This window comes from Homo sapiens, chromosome 6, assembly GCF_000001405.40.
Source record: "Homo sapiens chromosome 6, GRCh38.p14 Primary Assembly".
NCBI classification, from domain to species: Eukaryota; Metazoa; Chordata; class Mammalia; order Primates; family Hominidae; genus Homo; species Homo sapiens.
In genome coordinates this window covers 130,081,239-130,102,104 of record NC_000006.12, presented here as the reverse complement: position 1 = coordinate 130,102,104, position 20,866 = coordinate 130,081,239, and the positions used below count along the sequence as shown (strand labels likewise).

The 20,866-nt window shown below is 36.1% G+C and overlaps 1 protein-coding gene across 22 annotated transcripts in view; it reads right to left on the bottom strand.

The window, feature by feature from the left end:
• L3MBTL3 (L3MBTL histone methyl-lysine binding protein 3) overlaps nucleotides 1-20,866 on the bottom strand; it is a 122,858-nt gene that overhangs the window by 39,334 nt on the left and 62,658 nt on the right. For all 22 annotated transcript variants that reach the window (XM_047419407.1, XM_011536184.3, XM_047419410.1 and 19 more), the window contains 4 exons: nucleotides 18,400-18,485; nucleotides 15,855-15,965; nucleotides 9,246-9,360; nucleotides 7,738-7,840 (listed from right to left, as the gene is read on the bottom strand). In XM_047419407.1, the coding sequence (XP_047275363.1) occupies nucleotides 7,738-7,840; nucleotides 9,246-9,360; nucleotides 15,855-15,965; nucleotides 18,400-18,485 (415 nt within the window). The remainder of the gene's footprint in view (nucleotides 1-7,737; nucleotides 7,841-9,245; nucleotides 9,361-15,854; nucleotides 15,966-18,399; nucleotides 18,486-20,866) is intronic.

The following is a 20,866-nucleotide window of genomic DNA, read 5'->3' as shown; positions in this document are numbered from 1 at the left end:
TTTCCCCCTGAGATAGAATGACTAAGGAGAAGATGATTTGGGGGTAATATCAGAAATTGTGGAATTTGTTTATTAGACATCCAAGCAGAGATGTTACTTGCCCAAGGTCACATAGCAATGAAGTAGCTCAGCAAAATGAACACACTATTTCACGCATCGCCATGAGCATGGGCAGACGGTAGTATTTCATTGTATTCATTTAGTAATAATGTGAAGGAAAATCCATTCCCAACTATGATGTCTCTTTATATGTTTCACGGGATCCTAATTCAGAGTTCATGGATGCAGGTGACCAAAACCAATTCTGCCTAACTTGAGCAGAAAACACTCACTGTAAGGGCATTTGACAGATCAACAGGAAGGCCAGAAAAATCAGGGTTGGGTAGGAAGCAGGGTACAAGCAACACACTCCCTCAAAACGATCTGCACAGGAGGAGGCTGCTGGGCATGTGGCCCTCACGCCACTGCTCTCAGTCCCCCTGCCCTTTCCAGGCCCTGGTGTAGTCCTCAGTTCCATGGAGGCTGCAATCGCAAGGTCTGACCTGCCTTCACCTCATTCCTCAAGATGGAAAGCCCGGATGGCAGCATCTGATTGGTGGGTGTGGGATTCCTGCCCACAATGAAACTGCCAAAGGCCTGAGAAAGGGAAGCCTCGGTCCCTTGTGGCTCCCTAGTAGGAGGTGTCAGACCTAACATCACCTTGACTTCAAGGAAAATACAAATGTTCACTAAACATTTCTACTCAGATGTCTCAGTGTCACCTCACAATAAATATGTTTAAAAACAACTTTATCACCTTTAACAAATCACGCCCCTCCACCCAAAAATGATTAAAAATTCACTCTCCCAAAAGATAAACACAACTAGTTCCTCCTACTGTTCCTGACTCTGTTTATGACAAAATAAATTTATTAACCCAACCTCAGGTCTTCACCATCTTTGACTCCACTCTATTATTTGTTCCTTATATTGTGTGTTTTTGTTGCAAATTTATCTACTTAAGCTTCGTGGCAGCAAAAAATAATAACAATTTAAGGACTTTTTTAGTTTCTCTAAATAAACTGTATGCAAGCTATTCCTCGAATATCATGACCAGCATTTCATTCATTGTTATACGCTTGGCCTTACAATTATTAAATAACTGTATATATATTAAAATTGAAATTTTACTGTATATGAAGAAAGTGACAGGTTCTCTTCTTTACCTCATCCACCTTCGACAATGGGAAGACTCGCAGGATTCTTAGATGGGCTGGGTCCCCAATTTAGCACTAATTACAGTTACAGTGTAGACAATTTATATTCTAAGCCCTAGGAGGGCAGCATCGTCACCTATTTGTTGAATAAATGAAAGAATATCTCTCTAAATCACCATATGTAAACTTGGATAGCTCAAGAGAGGGGTAAGACTGCAGCCATTATGACACTTACCATTTAAATATCTTTTTTTTTTTTTTTGAAAATAGATTGCTAGGACCAGAGAGTAATTTCAATTATAAAATCTCAACCTAAAGCAGGGAAAAACATTCAAAGCCCTCAAAGCAGTGATTTACTAATGATCTACCAAGGGTAGCCTATCAGCTATTGATTTTATGTTAACCTCCTTTCTCTGAACCCTGAGAAGAGTCAAAAGGGTCAACAAACCTCCCATTTTCACACCTACTCTGGGGTAAAGAGGAAAGCCAGCTGGCTCCTGAAGTGGGAGGTGATGACAAAATGGAACGCCACAAAATGCAAAAGGAGCTCAGGTGACTGGACATGCATGGAGGCGGACATCAGGGAGCCTGGTTCTGACCCTGCTCTGCTGCTTCATCCTCCACTCAATAATGAGCAAGCACAGGCTCCGAGATTCTGTTTCATCTGTAAAATGAGGATGGTAGTAACAAAACTGACCTCGGATTAAGTGCATTACCCAGGCCAAATGTTTACATTACCTATTTAATTCTCACAATCCTAAGAAGTAGTTCCTTTGGGGCTTAGACAGGGATGTTGTTTAGTGTCTTCAATCAGTTCCTGATGGAATTACATTAGGAACTGTGGCTATCTCTTAACCACTATACTATATGGGTGAATAGTACCCTTGCACATTGAAGAATTTCCTTATTCCTAACCCATGACAATGAACTTGATCTGAGAGTACCATCTTCTAGCAAGATGCCACTGCCTGCTGCCTGTACTCATAGAACTAACATGGATTGTGTGCTTAGGAAGTGTCAGGCACTGTTCCAAAATTAACTCCTTTACTTATCACACTATTCTTATTAAGCAGATACTATTGTCACCAATTTATTTTATAAATGAGGACACCGGCACAAAGAAGTTAAGTATTGGCTCAAGGTCACAGAGCTTTGTAAATAATCTTATCTGATGGCTTTAAAAACAAAAGCCAACCTATAGAACGTGGGTCAAGTATTTCACTATTTCATCTATTCCCATTAACCAGCCCTTGGAATAAAAATTAGGGTAAAATTCACAAGCAATTATGTTTTTGAGGAGTTGGAACGACTCCTGTGTCACTTCAAAGAACACAAGTGACATATGTGATCTGCATCATGTTAGAAATGTTGCTTTTTCTGTTCCATATTTGTTCTGTTATGTACAGATACAAAATTGTTAACTTCTAAAACTGCATATGAACTTTAAAAAACTCACCAGTGCTAATTAAACATCTATGGAAAAAGTTGGTTCTCACTAGGCTTATAGACTTCTAATTTCTCACGTACTAAGTTTCTAGTGACAAAACTTTAATAAGGTGTGGCTTACCACATAACGTGTGTATGTTCTGTCATGGTTAGACACGTGCACATGTATATGTACAACTCTTTACTATTATGCAACTCCTCAGCAAGCAGAAGAACAGAGTCCCATAGGATGATACTGTTCTCTACTCTAAGTACTTTATTGAGGTGCATCCTACACTATTAGCATATTATTTCACATATCAGCTAAATATGCAAATACTTGCCCCACTGGCTCCTCTAAGAATGTTTTTTTCTAGGGAAGGCTGGTCCAGCTCATTAGGTGTGGTAGAAGGATGCCTTATTCACTGTTCTCCAATGCCACCTTAAAAACCCTTTTAATTGTAATTTTTATTGTATATTTTTATACAATAAAATATACAATATACAATAATTGTATATTTTTAACAATTAGGCAACATCTCCAGTTTTCTAAGTTCTCGCACAATCATTTTCGCACTCTGTCCTGACAAAAAACAGTTAAAAAAAAAAAAAAAAAAAAAGAAAAACACACGAGGCAGGCTCTATCAGGCCACTGTGCATTGCATGAATGCCCAGCAGTTAAGAGCAGGGACTTCAGTGCCTTACAAGCCTGGGTTGAATTCTGATTCCGCCAATGTACAATCTCAGGTGCTTCCTTAAGCATTTCAATTCTCTGTCTCCTCATCTATAAAACAAGAACTAGAAAAGTGCCTAACATTCACAGAGCTCCTGTGAGGACCAAATGAGGTCACACATTAAGTCCTTGAAGCAGTGCCTGGAACATAGGAAGTCATCAATAAATCCCACCGATTATTATTATTTAAAAAGAAGAGTGACATTTAACCCCTATTGTGTAAAAAGAACATCAGCAAAAAGTAAACAGCAATAAAAACTCCGTAACATACCTCATTATGAATGCTCTGCTTCCCTCATAAAAAGCTGACGCTTCTCTCTGAGCGCCACTCCACTCCTGCCTCTATGAGAATCTGTTTACACCAGACTGGCCTCTTTAGAAGGAGGGACCCTCTCCTCTATACAGTCCCTCACCTAACCCAGCAGGTGACATAAAGAAGGCACTTAACAAAGGTTTGTTCACGGATAGATGCATGGTGAATTAATATGATGTTTACAGCTTGCAGGGGCATACCAAGAGTTACTAATGTTGAAAACATTCCATGGACTTCATTAATATCCTTTAGGTGTTTCTGAAAACATTCCTTTCTCTTTTCTTGTTTAATTTCTCCAAGACCAAATCTTACAAAGAAAAGATTCAGTTCTGAAGGCACTTGATGTGCAGAATGTTTACTTTTTTTTTTTGAGATGGAGTTTCGCTCTTGTTGCCCAGGCTGAAGTGCAGTGGCGCAATCTTGGCTCACTGCAACCTCTGCCTCCTGGGTTCAAGTGATTCTCCTGCCTCAGCCTCCGGAGTAGCTGGGATTGCAGGCATGCACCACCACATCCGGCTAATTTTGTATTTTTGGTAGAGATGGGGTTTCTTCACGTTGGTCAGGCTGGTCTAGAACTCCCGATCTAAGATGATTTGCCTGCCTTGGCCTCCCAAAGTGCTGGAATCACAGACATGAGCCACTGCGCCTGGCCAAATGTCTACTTTTATATAACTTTATTTCCTTTAATCTCTTCCCATTCCTTACCCTCTCTCGGTAGGCCAAATAAATGAAGTGACAAAGGGAAACACTGTGACACAACCAATATTAATGTTCCCTTGCTAGAGAGTTGGAATTAAGCAATCTGGCTCCTGAATACCCCTACAGATGAGAAAACCATACCCATCTCCAACTCTTTCACTGATCATTTATATTTCACCATTTTAAAAAACGTTAAATTATCAAGCTTCATTGTTTAGACACGTTTTGTTTTAACACTTCTTAGATCAAATTCAAACACTGTAATCTTCAGAGAAGGTAACAACAAACGCTAGTCAAAACAAAGTCTCTTGCTTATGTGTTCATTAAATTGATTATTTTTGCTAAAATAGCAACTTTCTTTGTTATCTATGCAAAGAGTGCATGTTTTGATACATGCAGTTTCTCAGTAATTAATCCAAAGAGAATTTTCTCATTATGTTTTCCTAAACACAGCATTCTTAGTAAGAACAAAAGTAAGAGCCAGTGAAATAAACCTTTCAAAGAATATCCACGACACAGTAAGCTCCTCCACAAGTCTACTAATGAAATGGAAAACAGGCTGTGCCTATTAAGGATTAATACCCGGCCAGAAAAAGAGCTTTAAGTGCTGTAAATAGGACAGCATAGTCAGGGAGTCTAAGAAAATCCAGTTCGAAGACTGAGGAGAAGGGATGTTAGCACTTGGGCAGAAACTGGGACCTCCAGGAGTTCTGTGAATTGCATCCCTTGGTCCAGGGGCTCGAGTCAACCAACAACTCTGCCCAAGGCACAAAATCTGCTAGTTATGCTCTCTATATGTGATAAGAAAATGAATACGGGTTCTTTATCAATGCTTGTCCTTTAAACCATCAGGTGTACTTCTGCCTCTCCTTCCAAGAAAATGAGTAATTCTCTATTATGATTCTAATTCCACTGGAAAGGGTTCCTTACCACATTCCTCTATAAAGTCTTCCACTAATCCTCTTAACAAGCACAACACTGCATCTATGAAGAAATGCTCTAAATATAACCACTGAAACTTGGTGAAATGGGTGTGGCCCAGCTGAGGAACCCTCGGAGGTCCACCTGCACACTTGGGGAAAGGCAGTCCTGATGAATGGCTGGGCCATCAGGGAGGGGACACAACTGTCACCACGGGCCTTGCTGTGAAAGGCAAACCTCTCCACTCAAACGTAAAGCAGTCCTAAGGAGACCATGGACACTGCCATAAGGTGTGTCTTCCTTCCAGAAGACCAAAAAAAGTTTTGTTTCACCTCCAATTGCACCTCAACAACATACTGTTAGTATTTACTCATTTTAAAATTTTCTTTGTTCTTTTTCTTCACAACTTGAACAAATTCTCTTTGCTCCAATGAACACTTTGTACAGCAGAAAGGGATGTGTGCCAAAGTTCTGATATTATTTGGTATCTTATGTTTTAATTAAATTATGTCCAGCTTTTATAGCTCCATCAGCCTGTGAATTCTTTGAAGGTTGGGTCTGTGACTAATTTATGGAGTAGTGTCTTGAGAGGCCATTAGAGGGGAGTGGTCCAGAGCAGAGTTCCCTTCTCCCCAGTTGGGAAGTAAGGCAAGTTACTAACCTCCCCAGTACCCCCCGTGGCCTCACCAAAACGTGGGGAAAAAAACAGTTCTTATATCATAGGGCTGTTACAAAGGGTATCCAAGATATGTAAAGCAATTAGAGCAATATCCTGCACAGAGTAAATAAATGTTCAATAAATATTAGTTCTTGTTGAAAAAATGCTGCTCGAAAATATTTACTGAGTTTCTAAACATATTGCTGCAGTTTGAATACCCCCTCCAAAACTCATGTTGAAATCTGATTGCCACTGTGACAATACAGAGGTGATCAGGCTCTGCCCTCCTGGATGGATTAATGACATTATCGCAGAAGTGGGTTTGTTATCATGGGAGCGGTTGTTATAAAAGCAGGTTTGGCCCTCTCTAGCTCTCTCACACATGCTCTCTTGCCCTCTACCTTCCGCAGCAAGAAAGCCCTCGCCATATGCTGGCCCCTGGATCTCAGACTTTCCAGCCTCCAGAAAGTGAGAAATAAATTTCTTTTCTTTACAAATTACCCAGTCTGTGGTATTCTATTATAGCAACACAAAACAAGTAAAACAATAATGGAAATTTAGTACGTTCATGAATTATTTCTGGCATCTAGATTTACATAATGGCTGAAAATCCAGCTGCCTTCACTAGGCAATATTTAATAACTTCCAAGATGTATCATATAAATTTTGGTTTGCAGTCAGACAAGCAACAAAAAGGATTTGCAAACGGAATCATCATCATCCTGTCTATGCTCAGACTTCTCACTCTGGAACATACTGAACCTCATAGAACATTAAGGAGAGTTGTTCGAAAAAGGAAGATTTGAGGTTGCAGAGATGAAAAAAAGAGAAAACTATATCCACATGAAAATAATTACAACAATTTTGCAATTCCTATTAATACTTGGAGGAACAGGTACAGTAATCTTCAAAATTTTTAAAGACCTAGATTCACAACCTGTACAAACTAGATAAACAAGGAATCATTTTGCTTAGTGGGCAATCCAGTTACTATGTAGTTAGAACATTATACCGACAAATTATTATTTTAAAACATACCTAAATAGGTGATACATTTATTCCTTAAAAATGCCAGTTGAATCACAGGAATTTCTTAGTACTTCAGTAATATTTTTTTAAAAGACAGGATCTTGCTATGTTGTCCAGGCTGATCTCGAACTCCTGGCCTCAAGTGATCCTCCCACCTTAGCCTCCCAAGTAGCTGTACTTTAGTAGTATTTTTAACTCTCTACAAAGATCCCTAAATCACCAAATACATCACATTTCAAATGCATAAATTTGGTTTTTTTTTAAAGTTACTTAGGGGTAAGAGAAAAATATTTTAAAATGCATTTTGGACCAATGCACTCTCATGTTTGACTATTTATATTGTGCATTTTGTGATCTTTGCTGTTAATCTACAATCATCTCATCTCTCATTATTCAAATTATCAAGTCACCCAATCAGATAATATTCTACCAAATGATATCAACGGAGTCTCCCCTCTTCTCATTATTAATGATCAATGCAAAATAACTACTGCAGAAACTAACTATTTGTAAATCTAGTCAGGTTGCCAAGAAAAGCCAAAAAGCTAGAGTAAATCCATTTTAAACTGTGAATGCATTTTCTCCCAGGAAGATTTTACTATAGATATTCCCTTCATTTTTACATGATCACCATGGTAACCACATTTCTTATGGATCTGAATTTAAAATTAGTTCACATCAATTTAGTATATATGAAATTCATTATATATACATGTATATGGAACACCTATATCTGACCAAGTGAGTGACAGCTACCACATACCTGTGAGGGCCCAGATGTCTCGCTCTCTTGAAATGGCCAATCCCTTTACATCCCGGGGTTGAGCATCCACCATGTTCTGAAGCTTCCATTAATTCTAAGGGGCCTATGAAAGAGCAAAGAAAAGAAAGAAGGGGCAAAATATTAAGCAAAAATCTGTGAAGAGTCAAATGTCTGGATCAGAATAAGGAAGAAAAAGACTCCCTAAAAATCCAATTTTTTAACCAACATACATAAACAGAAAAAGTAGATCCTATAAAAATGAAAAATATTTTAAAAGACGCTACGTTTAAAGGTTTTTCCTTATGACTATTCACACTAGTTATCTTTCTTCAACAATGAAATGATAAACTTTGACGTAACAATCTTTCAAAACGTCATAAAGTCCAGAGATATCTAAATACGAATTAACAAGAAGAGTCAAACAACTTTTATTAAGTAAATAACATAATTAAAGCATGAATACTCACATACTGTGAACACTTCAAGTACTATAGAAGAATCCAGAATGACAGTTCCAGATCCCTCCATGCTCTTCTTTCTACATTGCAGACCCTCCCTCATTCTGACCACTGATGTTAGTGTGGGCTCTCCTGGAAATTGTTCTAAGCATTCAGGCACATTCGGTTTTGTTTGATTTTGCCACATAAAAGGCACAACACAGATGTTTTATTTTGCCACATAAAGGCCCAATATCCTTCTTTGGTTTTTAACTTCTTGTCTTACAAATTTTTCTGTTGCAATACTAATATTCTTTGTGACTACTGCATAGTTTCTACAGCATAGTGCACCAAAATTTATTTAACCAATATTTTTCCCCAAGCTTTGTTATTCTAAATAGGCTACACTGAATGCCATGTACATGTGCCCTTATGCAGTTTGTATGTAGCATCCAGAAGTGAAGTCACTGGATACAGAAGTACACTAAATTTTTTAAAAACTTGATAATAATTTATTGTATTTCCTACATTTGTTTTGTATAATGTATACATTTTACTCCAAAATTAAGGCCGTGGTATGTTAAGTTCTCCACGTACCTTTTCTAAAATTTGAATTTAACTGAGATTTTTATTAAGATAATTATAGATTCACAAGCAGTTGTAAATAATAATACATAAGGAGCTCTCCTTCACACTTTGCCCAGTTTCTCCCAATGTTAACGTTTTGCAAAGCTATCATATAAAATTACTATCAGAATACTAATATTGAAACAATAAATTTTGAAAGTCTCACAAATTGTCTTCCAAAAATTCAACACTAATTGTAAAAGGTGATATTTATTTCTAAATAAAACAGAATGTCTATACACGCTTTACTTTTTCAGGCATTAAGTTTTTTTTCCATTTATATTTCTGTGACCGTGGTAATTAAAATGTAGTAAAAGGAAGGGATTACATAGAGAAGAAACATCAGTAGAGAGAGGAGGAGAAAAAGAAAGGGCTAAGGATGAAATCTTAAGAATGCTACATATGGAAATGGAAACATTTATACAAGCTATTCGTGTCTCTTACTCAAAGGAGGCTGAAGGGGATGTCCTGTTTTTGAACACCAGCCTACAGGGTGAATATCAGGAGAATCTGCATCTATCCAGTAATCATAGCAATTGTTCCAGCCATCAAAGTGAACCTGGATGACACAAGGACATTAACAGTACAAATTAAGTCATAAAAGTTCCTACAGTCAAAGTTCTGCCCACAGCATAACCATTTTCATTCTAACACATACAGTAGATTTAAAACCCAATAAATCAGTTCAATTATTCAAAATACTTCACTCATAATGTGAAAAAAAAGACATCTTTGAACCACCTTCAATGTATTATATAACCAGACATAAAGGCCCTGCCAAAAGCACTTTTTGGCCAACAGTTCTACAGACATATTATGTGTATTTCTCAACACCATGAGCAACATGAGAACAGGAACTGTTATAACATCTTCATATGATCAACATCAAGCACCCAATAAATATGCAGAAGGAGTTAAAAATTCAGGGAAGGGAGGGAGGGAAGATGAGAGGGGAGGGTAGAGAGGAAGGAGAGGAAAGGAGGACCTTTCAAGTAATGTCAAGCCTTCTGCAATTGTGTTGAAAATGATTTAAAAAAAAGCCTGCTAGACACACATTCAATTTACGAAATATCCCTCCACCCAGTGTGTTTTTAGATATCATTTTTTCCTTGCAAATAACTACAGTATTTCTCAAATATGTGTTCTATTATTGTTTTATTTTTAATTATTATGGGTATACATTTCTGAAGTACATGTGACATTTTGATATAGGCATATAATGTATAATGATCAAATCAGGGTAACTGGGGTATCCATCACCTCCAGCTTTCGTCATTTCTTTGTTTTATGAATATTCCAATTCTACTAGTTATTTAAAAATATATAAATTATTGTTAACTGTAGTCACCCTAATGTGCTACCAGATACTAGATCTTACTGATTCTATCTAACTCTATTTTTGCGCCTGTTAATCACCCCCACTTTATGCCCTACTCCCTGCTATGCTTCTCAGGCTCTGGCAACCCTTATTGTACCCTCTTGTCCTCATGAGTTCAATTTTTTTTAGCTCCCACATATGAGTGAGAACAAGCAATATTTGTCTTTCTGTGCCTGGCTTATTTCATTTAACATAATGTCCTCCAGGTTCATCCATGATGTTGCAAATGACAGTATTTAATTCTTTTTTTATGGCTGAATAATATCCCGTTGTGTATATATACCACTTCTCTTTATCCATTCCTCCAACTGGTGGGTACTTAGGTTCCTTCCATATCTTAGCTAGTGTGAAAAGATATGTCTTATTATAAAGCAGTCACTGCTACCATCTCTATGGCCATTGTGTGAAAGGGCAGTTGGTCTTCTAGTGATGGTCACTAGGAATCGACCATGTTTTTTTTAGGTTATTATATATTTTTTACCTTTTAGGATGAAGGGATATACTGAAATGCTTTAGATATTTTATTTTTAAATCAACTTTGCCAGTTATATCAACTGATCACAGGATATTAAAAAAACAAGTCTGCCAGTTAGATTTCTTTTTAGAAGTCTATGAACCTCTCATTCCTTACAAGACAACAGATGCCAGAGGGATAAAAAAGTCAAACACTAAAAATTGAACAATAAACATTCGAGAAGAATGTGTGAATGAACTTATTTGTAATCACAGAGTGGATCAGCCTTTGTAAGCAAAACACCAAACTCAAAAGCAGTAAAAGACTGATCAATTTGATTACATGAAAATTTAAAGCTTCAGAATGGCAAGTATTATAAAATAAAATGAAAGACCTACAAGAAACCCCCCAAAATACATTTGCAACACCTGTGTCAAGAACTCTCTTCCTCAATTTATAAAAATATGATGTATCAGCACAAAAAGATGAAACCCTACAGAAAGATGAAAAATGGAGGCAAATAGCTCATTATCCAAAACATAAATATAAATGTTTAGTAAATATATGAAAAGACAATAAATTTGAGGCCAGGCTCAGTGGTTCATGCCTGTAATCCCAGCACTTTGGGAGGCCAAGGAGGGAGGATCACTAGATCCCAGGAGTTCAAGATCAGCCTGGACAACATGGCAAACCCCATCTCTACAAAAAAAATAAAATAAAAATAAAAGCTAAGTGTAGTCCCAGCTACTCAGTTATGCTGAGGTGGGAGGATCACCTGAGCCTGGGAGGTTGAGGCTACAGTGAGCCAAGACCATATCACTGCACTCCAGCCTAGGCGACAGAGTGAGACCTTGTCTCAAAAAAAGAAAAAGAAAAGAAAAAAGAAGAAGAAGAAAAAAGACAATTGCTTTCACTTATAATTTAAAAACTACAAATTAAAATCACAAGATACAATTCTTCTCCTATTGGCCTGTTAAAAATGTTCACATTTTGGTAATTCCTACAGCTGGTTAAGAATGAGAATAAATGGGTGTTCTCATAGACCACTGACAAGAGTGTTAACTACTGAGATATTCCTGGAAAGCTATTTGGTAATAACAGTCGAGCACTTAAACGACATTAATTTTGACTTGATAATCTCAATAACTCATTGTTTGTATTAGAAAACAACTAGAAGTTACCACAGTGCCCATCATCAGGAGACTGGTTAATAAATTATGGTATATTCATATAATGAAATAGAATGCAGTTAGTAAAAGTATATATATATATATGTGCTTAAAATAATGTTCTTTGCAATGAGTCTTTCTTAAGCTTAGAAATAAATTAATCTTAGAATCAAAACCCCATAGAAAATATGAAAAGACGTGTGTCAGCAAGATAAGAGAATACCCCAAGAAAAGCAAAGTATGTGATCCAGGAAAATGAAATACAATCTAGTCTGTCAGCAAAGAGAAGTGTCAGGATGAAAGCTTTGTACCAGGCTTAGAGTATTTCCACCCACAGTGGAATAGGTGGCTGCTGAGTATGAGAAAGAGTTCGAGAAAAAAAGAAAAAGATAGAGTGTTGATGTAAAATTTTTCTCCCATTCTGTAGGTTGCCTATTCACTCTGATGGTAGTTTTTTTTTTTTGCTGTGAAAAATACTCATCATCACTGGTCATCAGAGAAATGTGTATCAAAACCACAATGAGATACCATCTCATGCCAGCTAGAATGGCAATTATTAAAAAGTCAGGAAACAACAGATGCTGGAGAGGATGTGGAGAAACAGGAACACTTTACACTTTTGGTGGGAGTGTAAACTAGTTCAACCATTGTGGAAGACAGTGTGGCGATTCCTCAAGGATCTAGAACTAGAAATACCATTTGACCCAGTGATCTCATTACTGGATATATACCCAAAGGATTATAAATTATGCTACTATAAAGACACATGCACATGTATGTTTATTGCGGCACTATTCACAATAGCAAAGACCTGGAACCAACCCAAATGTCCATCAATGATAGACTGGATTAAGAAAATGTGGCACATATACACCATGGAATACTATGCAGCCATAAAAAAGGATGAGTTCATGTCTTCTGCAGGGACATGGATGAAGCTGGAAACCATCATTCTCAGCAAACTATCACGAAGACAGAAAATCAAACACTGCATGTTCTAACTCATAGGCGGGAACTGAACAATGAGAAAACTTGGACACAGGGCGGGGAACATCACACACTGGGGCCTGTCATGGGGTGGGGGGCAGGGGGAGGGATAGCATTAGGAGAAATACCTAATGTAAATGACGAGTTAATGGCTGCAGTAAACCAACACGGCACATGTATACATATGTGACAAACCTGCACGTTGTACACATATATCCTAGAACTTAAAGTATAATAATAATAATAATAAAAAGATAGAGTACTGAAAAATATACTTGAGCTTTTGACTCAAAGGCATGTCAGATCCACTGTTGCACTTGTAAAAATCTAAGAAGACAAAAAAACTAAACTATGAACAAATTACTGACTCCCAAAAAAATAGTCACAAGGAGAAGACTACTTTGCTCAACAGTGAATGAGAACAAAACAATGTAAAATAACTACTGAAAAGATAAGGGGAAGGGAAGAAGGGCAAGATCTAAATCTTGAATTACCACAACATGAAGAAAATAAACCATATTTAAAATTGATGAACTGAGAAAGAGTAGAATATAGGTAATATTTTAGAAAATTACAGATAAAAAGGTCCTAAGCAAGAGCTAAAAGAGCTGACAGTTTTTGCCTCTGGGGAGCCAGGCTGGGGAGTGGGAAGGAATGAGGCAGGAATAATCTTCTATTACTAAAAACATAAATGAGAGCAAAACCATTCTAGGCCATTTTTCTTCAATGTCATCTGATCAAATATAGAACAATTTAAAATGTTTTACTATAATAGCTCAAGGTGTGAAATATGTAATCTTAAAAGATGATTTTACTTGAGTTGATTTTATCCCTGAAAAACTTAAAATATTAAGCTACACTAATAACTTGGTCTACATTTTCCTCCTCTTCTTCCTTCTTAAAAAAGAAAGATGAGTTTTCCTGCTGTCTAATCTCCCACTTATTAGATAAACTCCTACTGTTGCAGGCTTTTTATATTCTCAGAAGCTTCTGATGAATTCTGAAACTTAGTCACTGACCCCTGTATACAAGCCTTTTAAAGACCTCATAAATACTCAGATATTTGTTCCATGGTTCATCTTCAGCTATGAAATTAATTCCAGTAATTACCAAAAGATAATTGTCAACTGTACCCCTCACAGCCAGTATTTCTGGGGTGTTATGGACTGACCAGGATGTTGTATTAGAGAATCCAGCTAGAAGTAAGAGGTGGATTCTAGTCTACACTTTTCCTGTTAACTAACTGAACCACCCACTTGAGCATACTTGACCTCTCTGGGCCAAAAATTTCTCATATGTAAAATAAGAGAGTTGATCTACATTTTTAATTATAAAAGTAATATATATTCCAGAAACTAAACAAGTAAAAAACCTAACCATTTATACTTTCAGCACCCTGAAAGAAGCACTGTCATTACTTTGGTATGATTCTTTCCAGAATTGCTTATATATGTATGCTTGTAAAAAAAAAAACAACAGCAGATATCATAACATAATGTAAACCTGAATTTTTCAATTGTTGGTATTAAATAGTCTTCTAAAATATTTAATTTTAACATCATGTAGATAAAGAGTAATGCATTTTACCCATCAGCTACTGTGGTTGCTTCCAATGTTAAGTACTATAAACAGCACTGATATATTTTCCTTGGAGTTTTTATTTTTGCATATTCCTTTTGGCTATTCCCTTAACATTCTTAAATGAAAGGATAAACAACATTCTACGATTTTGTTAACCTATTGCCAAACTGCTCTTTGGAAAGGCTGAGACATTTTACATTCCCACCAGCCATATGTGATAATTAAATTTTCATGCAGTCGAACCAATATTTTTTTTCAATTCTGAGCAATCTGATTTATAAAAGTAATATTGTACTTAATTGTAAATGTATTTGATTACTTGTCTAGATTTTATTTTAAAAAATACTTCTAGTTCTAAAATACTGATTGCTTTATGACTTACATTACTACCAAATATAATAAGAAAATGCACTTGAAAATATGGTTAGCACAGGTCTTGCATTTATAAAATTTTCTAAAATGCTACATGATTCTATAATCTTAACAGTGAACTAAATGTTAAAATTTCTATTCTATAGAAATACCACATTTGTGGTTTTTCATGTTATTTTATAATTTATTTTATTATACACTATCTTATTAGAGATAGTTGAGAATGTAATTTTTTTAAAAAGGGCATAAACTTAAGACTCCTACAGCTTAGAACTAAGAAGTCATTCTGCCACTGCCAGTAATTAATAATTCATTTAATCTTTATGAGCCTCTCTGCCTCATCAGTAAAAGTGATAACAATGTATACTTCCCACAAATGTTAAATAATATGAGAACAGGGTTACCCTGTAAAACATCATGTACATTTAATGTCTTGCTGTTATAACTATTCTTATTCCTAATAGAAATTCCAAACAATTTTATGAAGTTAAGTAGAACAGGCATTGTTTTGGTCTGAGGGTGAAGTTAATGCTGAAGTAAGAAACAGAGACGAGCTCTTCTGGCTCCTTTCCTGAACTCCACTTCACTTTATCATGGCTGGACATAACAAGCTGATCCCATCTCCCTAAACATTTGCTTACTTTTTAAGAGGCATTTGACTTTTATTACTCTAATTAAAATCTGATTTTATTCATGAAATTATTTATCTTTACTTGGCCTATATTGAGATAGGATGTTCCTCTGAAAAGACTACTTCTAATCTACCCCACAAAAACATTAATCTTCAATTTTTTTAAAAAAGGGCATACTATCAGAGAATGAAGTATCTTTTCTTCTGAATATAATACTACTTTAATGTGTTGTATCTACTTTCTTTCTCCAAATACATACTCAAAATATTAAGTCATTCATAACTAAAGATAAATTGTTTTATGCAGATTAAAGGACAAACCTGGAAGAATGCTGATTTACAAAGATGCACAGCCAATTATTTTGCTTATTCCTATGATTTTACTAATTACAGGACTTCACAAGTTAAGTATCTACCAAAGTTTTTATCTAAAACATCTTATAACAAAAGACAAAGCCAACCCCCCACACAGAACACTTACTTTTACCCGGTGATCATCTGTGTCTGCCACAGTTGCTACTCTAATAAACATAGGGTTCCTTTTGTCTACAACCTCAAGCTTCATTTTTTTCTGGAATCCATGAGGAGGTTTCTGCCACAAAAAAAAATTTTACAGAGTGAGATAAAGAGGAAGAGAAGGTAAACTTGATGTTACAAAGAAGAAGAAGAAGAAAAAGCTGGCCAGGCGCGGTGGCTCACACCTGTAATCCCAGCACTTTGGAAGGCTGAGGCGGGCGGATCACTTGAGGCCAGGAGTTTGAGACCAGCCTGGCCAACATGGCTGAACCCTGTCTCTATTAAAAATACAAACAGTAGCCAGGCATGGTGGCATGCACCTGTAATCCCAGCTACTCGGGAGGCTGAGGCACAAGAATTGCTTTAGCCCAGGAGGTGGAGTAGTGAGGTGAGATTGTGCCACTGCACTCCAGCCTGGGCAACAGAGGGAGACTGTCTCAAAAAAATAAAAATTAAAAAAAGAAATAGCTGGGCTATTTAGAGAATGATGTCATAAAAGAAGACAGAAAAATTTTAAATGGTTAGAACTTGCTGTCATTTTTTAAATAAAGAAAGAAAATAAGAGAACCAGGCTTTCAAATTCTCAACTTTCCAGAGTAGCTCTGAACTTCACCCTGTCTGTCAAAAAATTCCAACACAGATGCACGAGCAAGGGAAATAGCAGAGTAAAATTCAAAATACTGTAGTTATTTGATTACTCAGATGGAAGACAAGAAAATTTTCTTATTATTTGGAGGTGTACTGGCAAAAATCAACAAGCATAAAATTTATTTTTAAATAGAGAGAGGAACAATATTAAAGTGGCTGAGATGAGACACCAAAATTAGAAGTGGTAATGGAGGCAAAAAGCAGAAGATATCTTTAAAACAGAAAATTAGCAATCAAACATAAAAGATAGAACCAGGAATGGGTTGGGGGAATCAACAGCTACCTACGCCTCAGTACTCAGCAGAAACTTATAAGCCTCTGAAAAACTCACAGACAGTGGAAGATAAGGTGATTGTTTGGCATAATGTTAGGCAAATTAGTTAATTTTCTGAGCTTCAGGTCCCTCTTCTGTAAAATGGGTATAAGAAAAGTGTTGCTGGGCAGGACGCGGTGGCTCATGCCTGTAATCCAGCACTTTGGGAGGCCGAGGTGGGTGGATTGCTTGAGCTCAGGAGTTTGAGACCAGCCCAGGCAACAGAGCAAAACCTCTTCTCTACAAAAAATACAAAAATTAGCCCAGCATGGTGGCATGTGCCTATAGTCCCAACTACTCAGGAAGCTGAGGTGGGAGGATCACTTAAGCCTGTGAGGTGGAGATTGTAGTGAGACGAGATCATGGCACTGCACTCCAGCCTGGGCAACAAAGCAAGACCCTGACTCAAACAACAAAAAAAGGGTTGCCATGAAAATTAAGTATGTTATATAAATAACACAGAGCAGTCAATGCAAGACACCTAAAAGACCAAACTAGAGAAATCTGTTTTCTCTCTGTTGTGACAGTAGACATGTAGGCTGATCTGTATGTAATTTTATTCGTTTAAAGTGAAGTGTAATGCAGCTCTGCTTCGCATCAGACAAGAATTTAAAGTTAAAGGGTGGGAGATAAAAATTCACAAATATGGCATAACTCTAAACAGTTTTCTTTTTTAAATCTTCAACTTACTATCAGATGAAATCACACACATTTTTTGATATAGTTTCTCTTCGTGCCTTATGGTTTTGCTCTTAAAATTTTTTTAAGAGCAAATTTGGACCTATACCTCATAATTAATTCTAACATTAAAAATCCTAGCAATTTATACATAAAAGGATGTCTTAAAGAAAATTATTTATCATAAGCTCATCATGACACATTTAAAAAAATAAATATTTGATATATTTTTCTTTTCTGTTAAATTCATGAGAAATCTAAATCATAAAGCAAGCTATTTGAGATGAAAAAATGAGAAATATATTTCACTTCTTATTCCTTCCTTGCATAGAAATGAGGTTCATTTGAATCTTAATACTTTATATGCAAGAAGCAATGACCCTGGGTTAGAAAGATACTGTAATAAAAGCAGATGATCTTGTATTTTGGTAATTAAACATGCTGATTTACAGCAATAAAATTAAAAAACCCAGCATCTCAGCTTGCCATAAACAAATCCAAATCAATTATCCATCAGTTTTTATTGAAAAATATTTTCATATTCTGTTCTGGTCTTTTAGAACATCTAGCTAAAAAGACAGAAGATTGCTTTAAGATTTCAACAACTGGCCCCACATGCTATCGAATCAAGCAGAATTATTTTCCAAGGAGACTTTAAAGTCCAAAATCAAAGCATTTTTTTGGATGACAACAACAAAAATTCCAGTAACAATTTTGACTTTAAAAATTGTAAAAATTCAAAAACATCTTATTTGGTGCTCTATTTTTTTCTCATTCCTATTCTGGTTTACTAATACCATCTTGTTCTGTTCTTCAATTTCAATAAATAAATGATCTCATCCACGCAAATTAATAAAATGTATCATCTTACCACTTTGAAAGCTCTTGCAGGAGCAGGTAAAGAATTGGTTTCTTCTAAGTATTTATCCCAAGAAAAATGTTTCACATTTGGATAACCTAAGAAAGAAAAATGTAAATCCTATGAGGTTTAACCAAAATGATAGCAAGAATAACAAACTGTCCAACAAAAATTATAAAATATTATAATCTAGAAAATTATGTTCATATATACATGACAACTTTACTCACACATTCAGAGCTATTAGTAATAATGAAATTGTTTTCATCTTGATCATTATTTTTCTATTACTTTTAAAATGAAAATTTTATAGATATATATAATTTATATTTTCAGATAAAGACAGTCTTACAAGACAGACACACAAATACCCTTTAGCAATTTTGTATTGGAGAATCTAGAAAAATCTGACATATGCAATAAAGGCAACACACAATTGTTTGTAAATGTGAAAATTAAGTAAGTTAAATGACCTTCAATATACAAATGTGCAAAAAAATGTACATAAGCAGAAAGTACTTATTAAAAAGAACATGGTAGATTTATATATATTAATATGTGAACAATTCCAGATATAACTTCATATTGTTCCAACAAACACACACAAATGATGTAACATTATTAATAGAATGTGTAAAAATATCTTCTCCTTCCTCCTGCCCTCTTTTGTTCCCTCCAGGGCCCCAAATCCATTAGGTAGGCATGAGCAGGAATAAACAGTGGCCCAGTATGGTGGGAAATTAGCCACATAAAGGGGACTGAGAAAAGCAGCAAATATATCAGAGATAATGTTAGCCAGGTTTGAGGGAAACCAGAATGAAGCTGATGTGTTGGATTTGAATTGGAACTAATGGCATAAATTCACAGTTTTCAATATATAAACAGACACAGAAATAGACATATACATTTTTGCATATATTTATACACATGTATTTCCTAGCTATATCAGCTTAAAGGCCTGGAAACATCAACACTCTTGTAGTAAATAAGCACACTTAGTGTTCAGATCTTAGTTTCTAAATATCATTCTCTACTAAAAAGAGGCACGGAACCTTGAAGAAATGGGTGACTCTAGATGGGGTCAGGGAAAGTATGAGATAAGCCTAGCTGTGCCAGAAAATAAGAAGTTCTCAAAAAATGATAAGAACATTTCAAAAGGACACTGAAATGTGCCTAAAGGGGCTATAACTGGTTACTATCTGAGAAAATCTGAATATGAAGATATATAATGCTAGCAATCAATTATAACTCACTGATAAAAATAGTAATCTATGGGTCTACACTGATACAGATAAATTGAACAAATAAATAGGAAGATAAGAAAAGCTATTCTTTGCAGGAAAATATCAACTAATTTTGTATAAGGAATGATGGAATAAGAAAAATTATAGTTTAGCACTGTCAGAATAATATAATTCATGCCAGGAATGTCAACAGATGCTAAAACTAGCAAATGACATTGGGACAAGATACACAGTCTCAAAGTATCTCTCCAGAAAATGTATCTCTCCAGAAAATACTTATTAGTTACAGAGAAAAAATAACTCCATTAGTAGACAAACCTAGCAAACACCATCTTGATCCATCAGTGGTAAAAGCGAACCAGTAAAGAGACAGACTGACATGATGAGCCACCTGAGAGAAGGAAATGAGAACACAGCACTATGTCTATGATATTCCTGCCAAAAATGCACAGTCTTCGTATGATCATGAGGAAATACCAATCCTACTCAAATTAAGTAACAATCTACAAAATGACAGATCTGTAATCCTCAAACTTATTAAGGTCATAAAAGTCAAGGAAAGCCTAATTAATAGAAGCTGGAGGGATCTGACAACTGAGATCCTTTTGCTAGGAATAACATCACTAGGACAACTGGCAAACTTGACTGGGTCTCTGAGTCAGGGGTATAGGTGAGTTTTGCACTGTTCTTGCAACCTTTCTGTACATTCAAAATTGTTCCAAAATAAAATGTTTAAAGAGTAAATATGCAGCCGGGTGCGGTGGCTCACGCCTGTAATCCCAGCATTTTGGGAGGCTGAGGCAGGTGGATCACGAGGTCAGGAGATTGAGACCATCCTGGCTAACATGGTGAAACCCCATCTCTACTAAAAAATGCAAAAAAAAAAAAATAGCCAGGTGTGGTAACACGTGCCTGTAGTCCCAGCTACTCAGGAGGCTTAGGTAGGAGAATCACTTGAACTCAGGAGGCGGAATTTACAGTGAGCCAAGATTGTACCACTGCACTCCTGCCTGGGCAACAGAGCAAGAATCCGTCTCAAAAAAAAAAAAAATGGAGTTAATACGCAAACATAGTTCTGTGTATACATTTTATGACATTTTTAAGGAACACATCTTGCACAATTTAAACAATTTAAATTAGAACATTCTACTAAATGAAACAAACTGAGGTGTACGCATGCATGTGTGTGACTTTGCATAGGCAAAAATGCTTTCCTGGAAACACATAAGGACAAA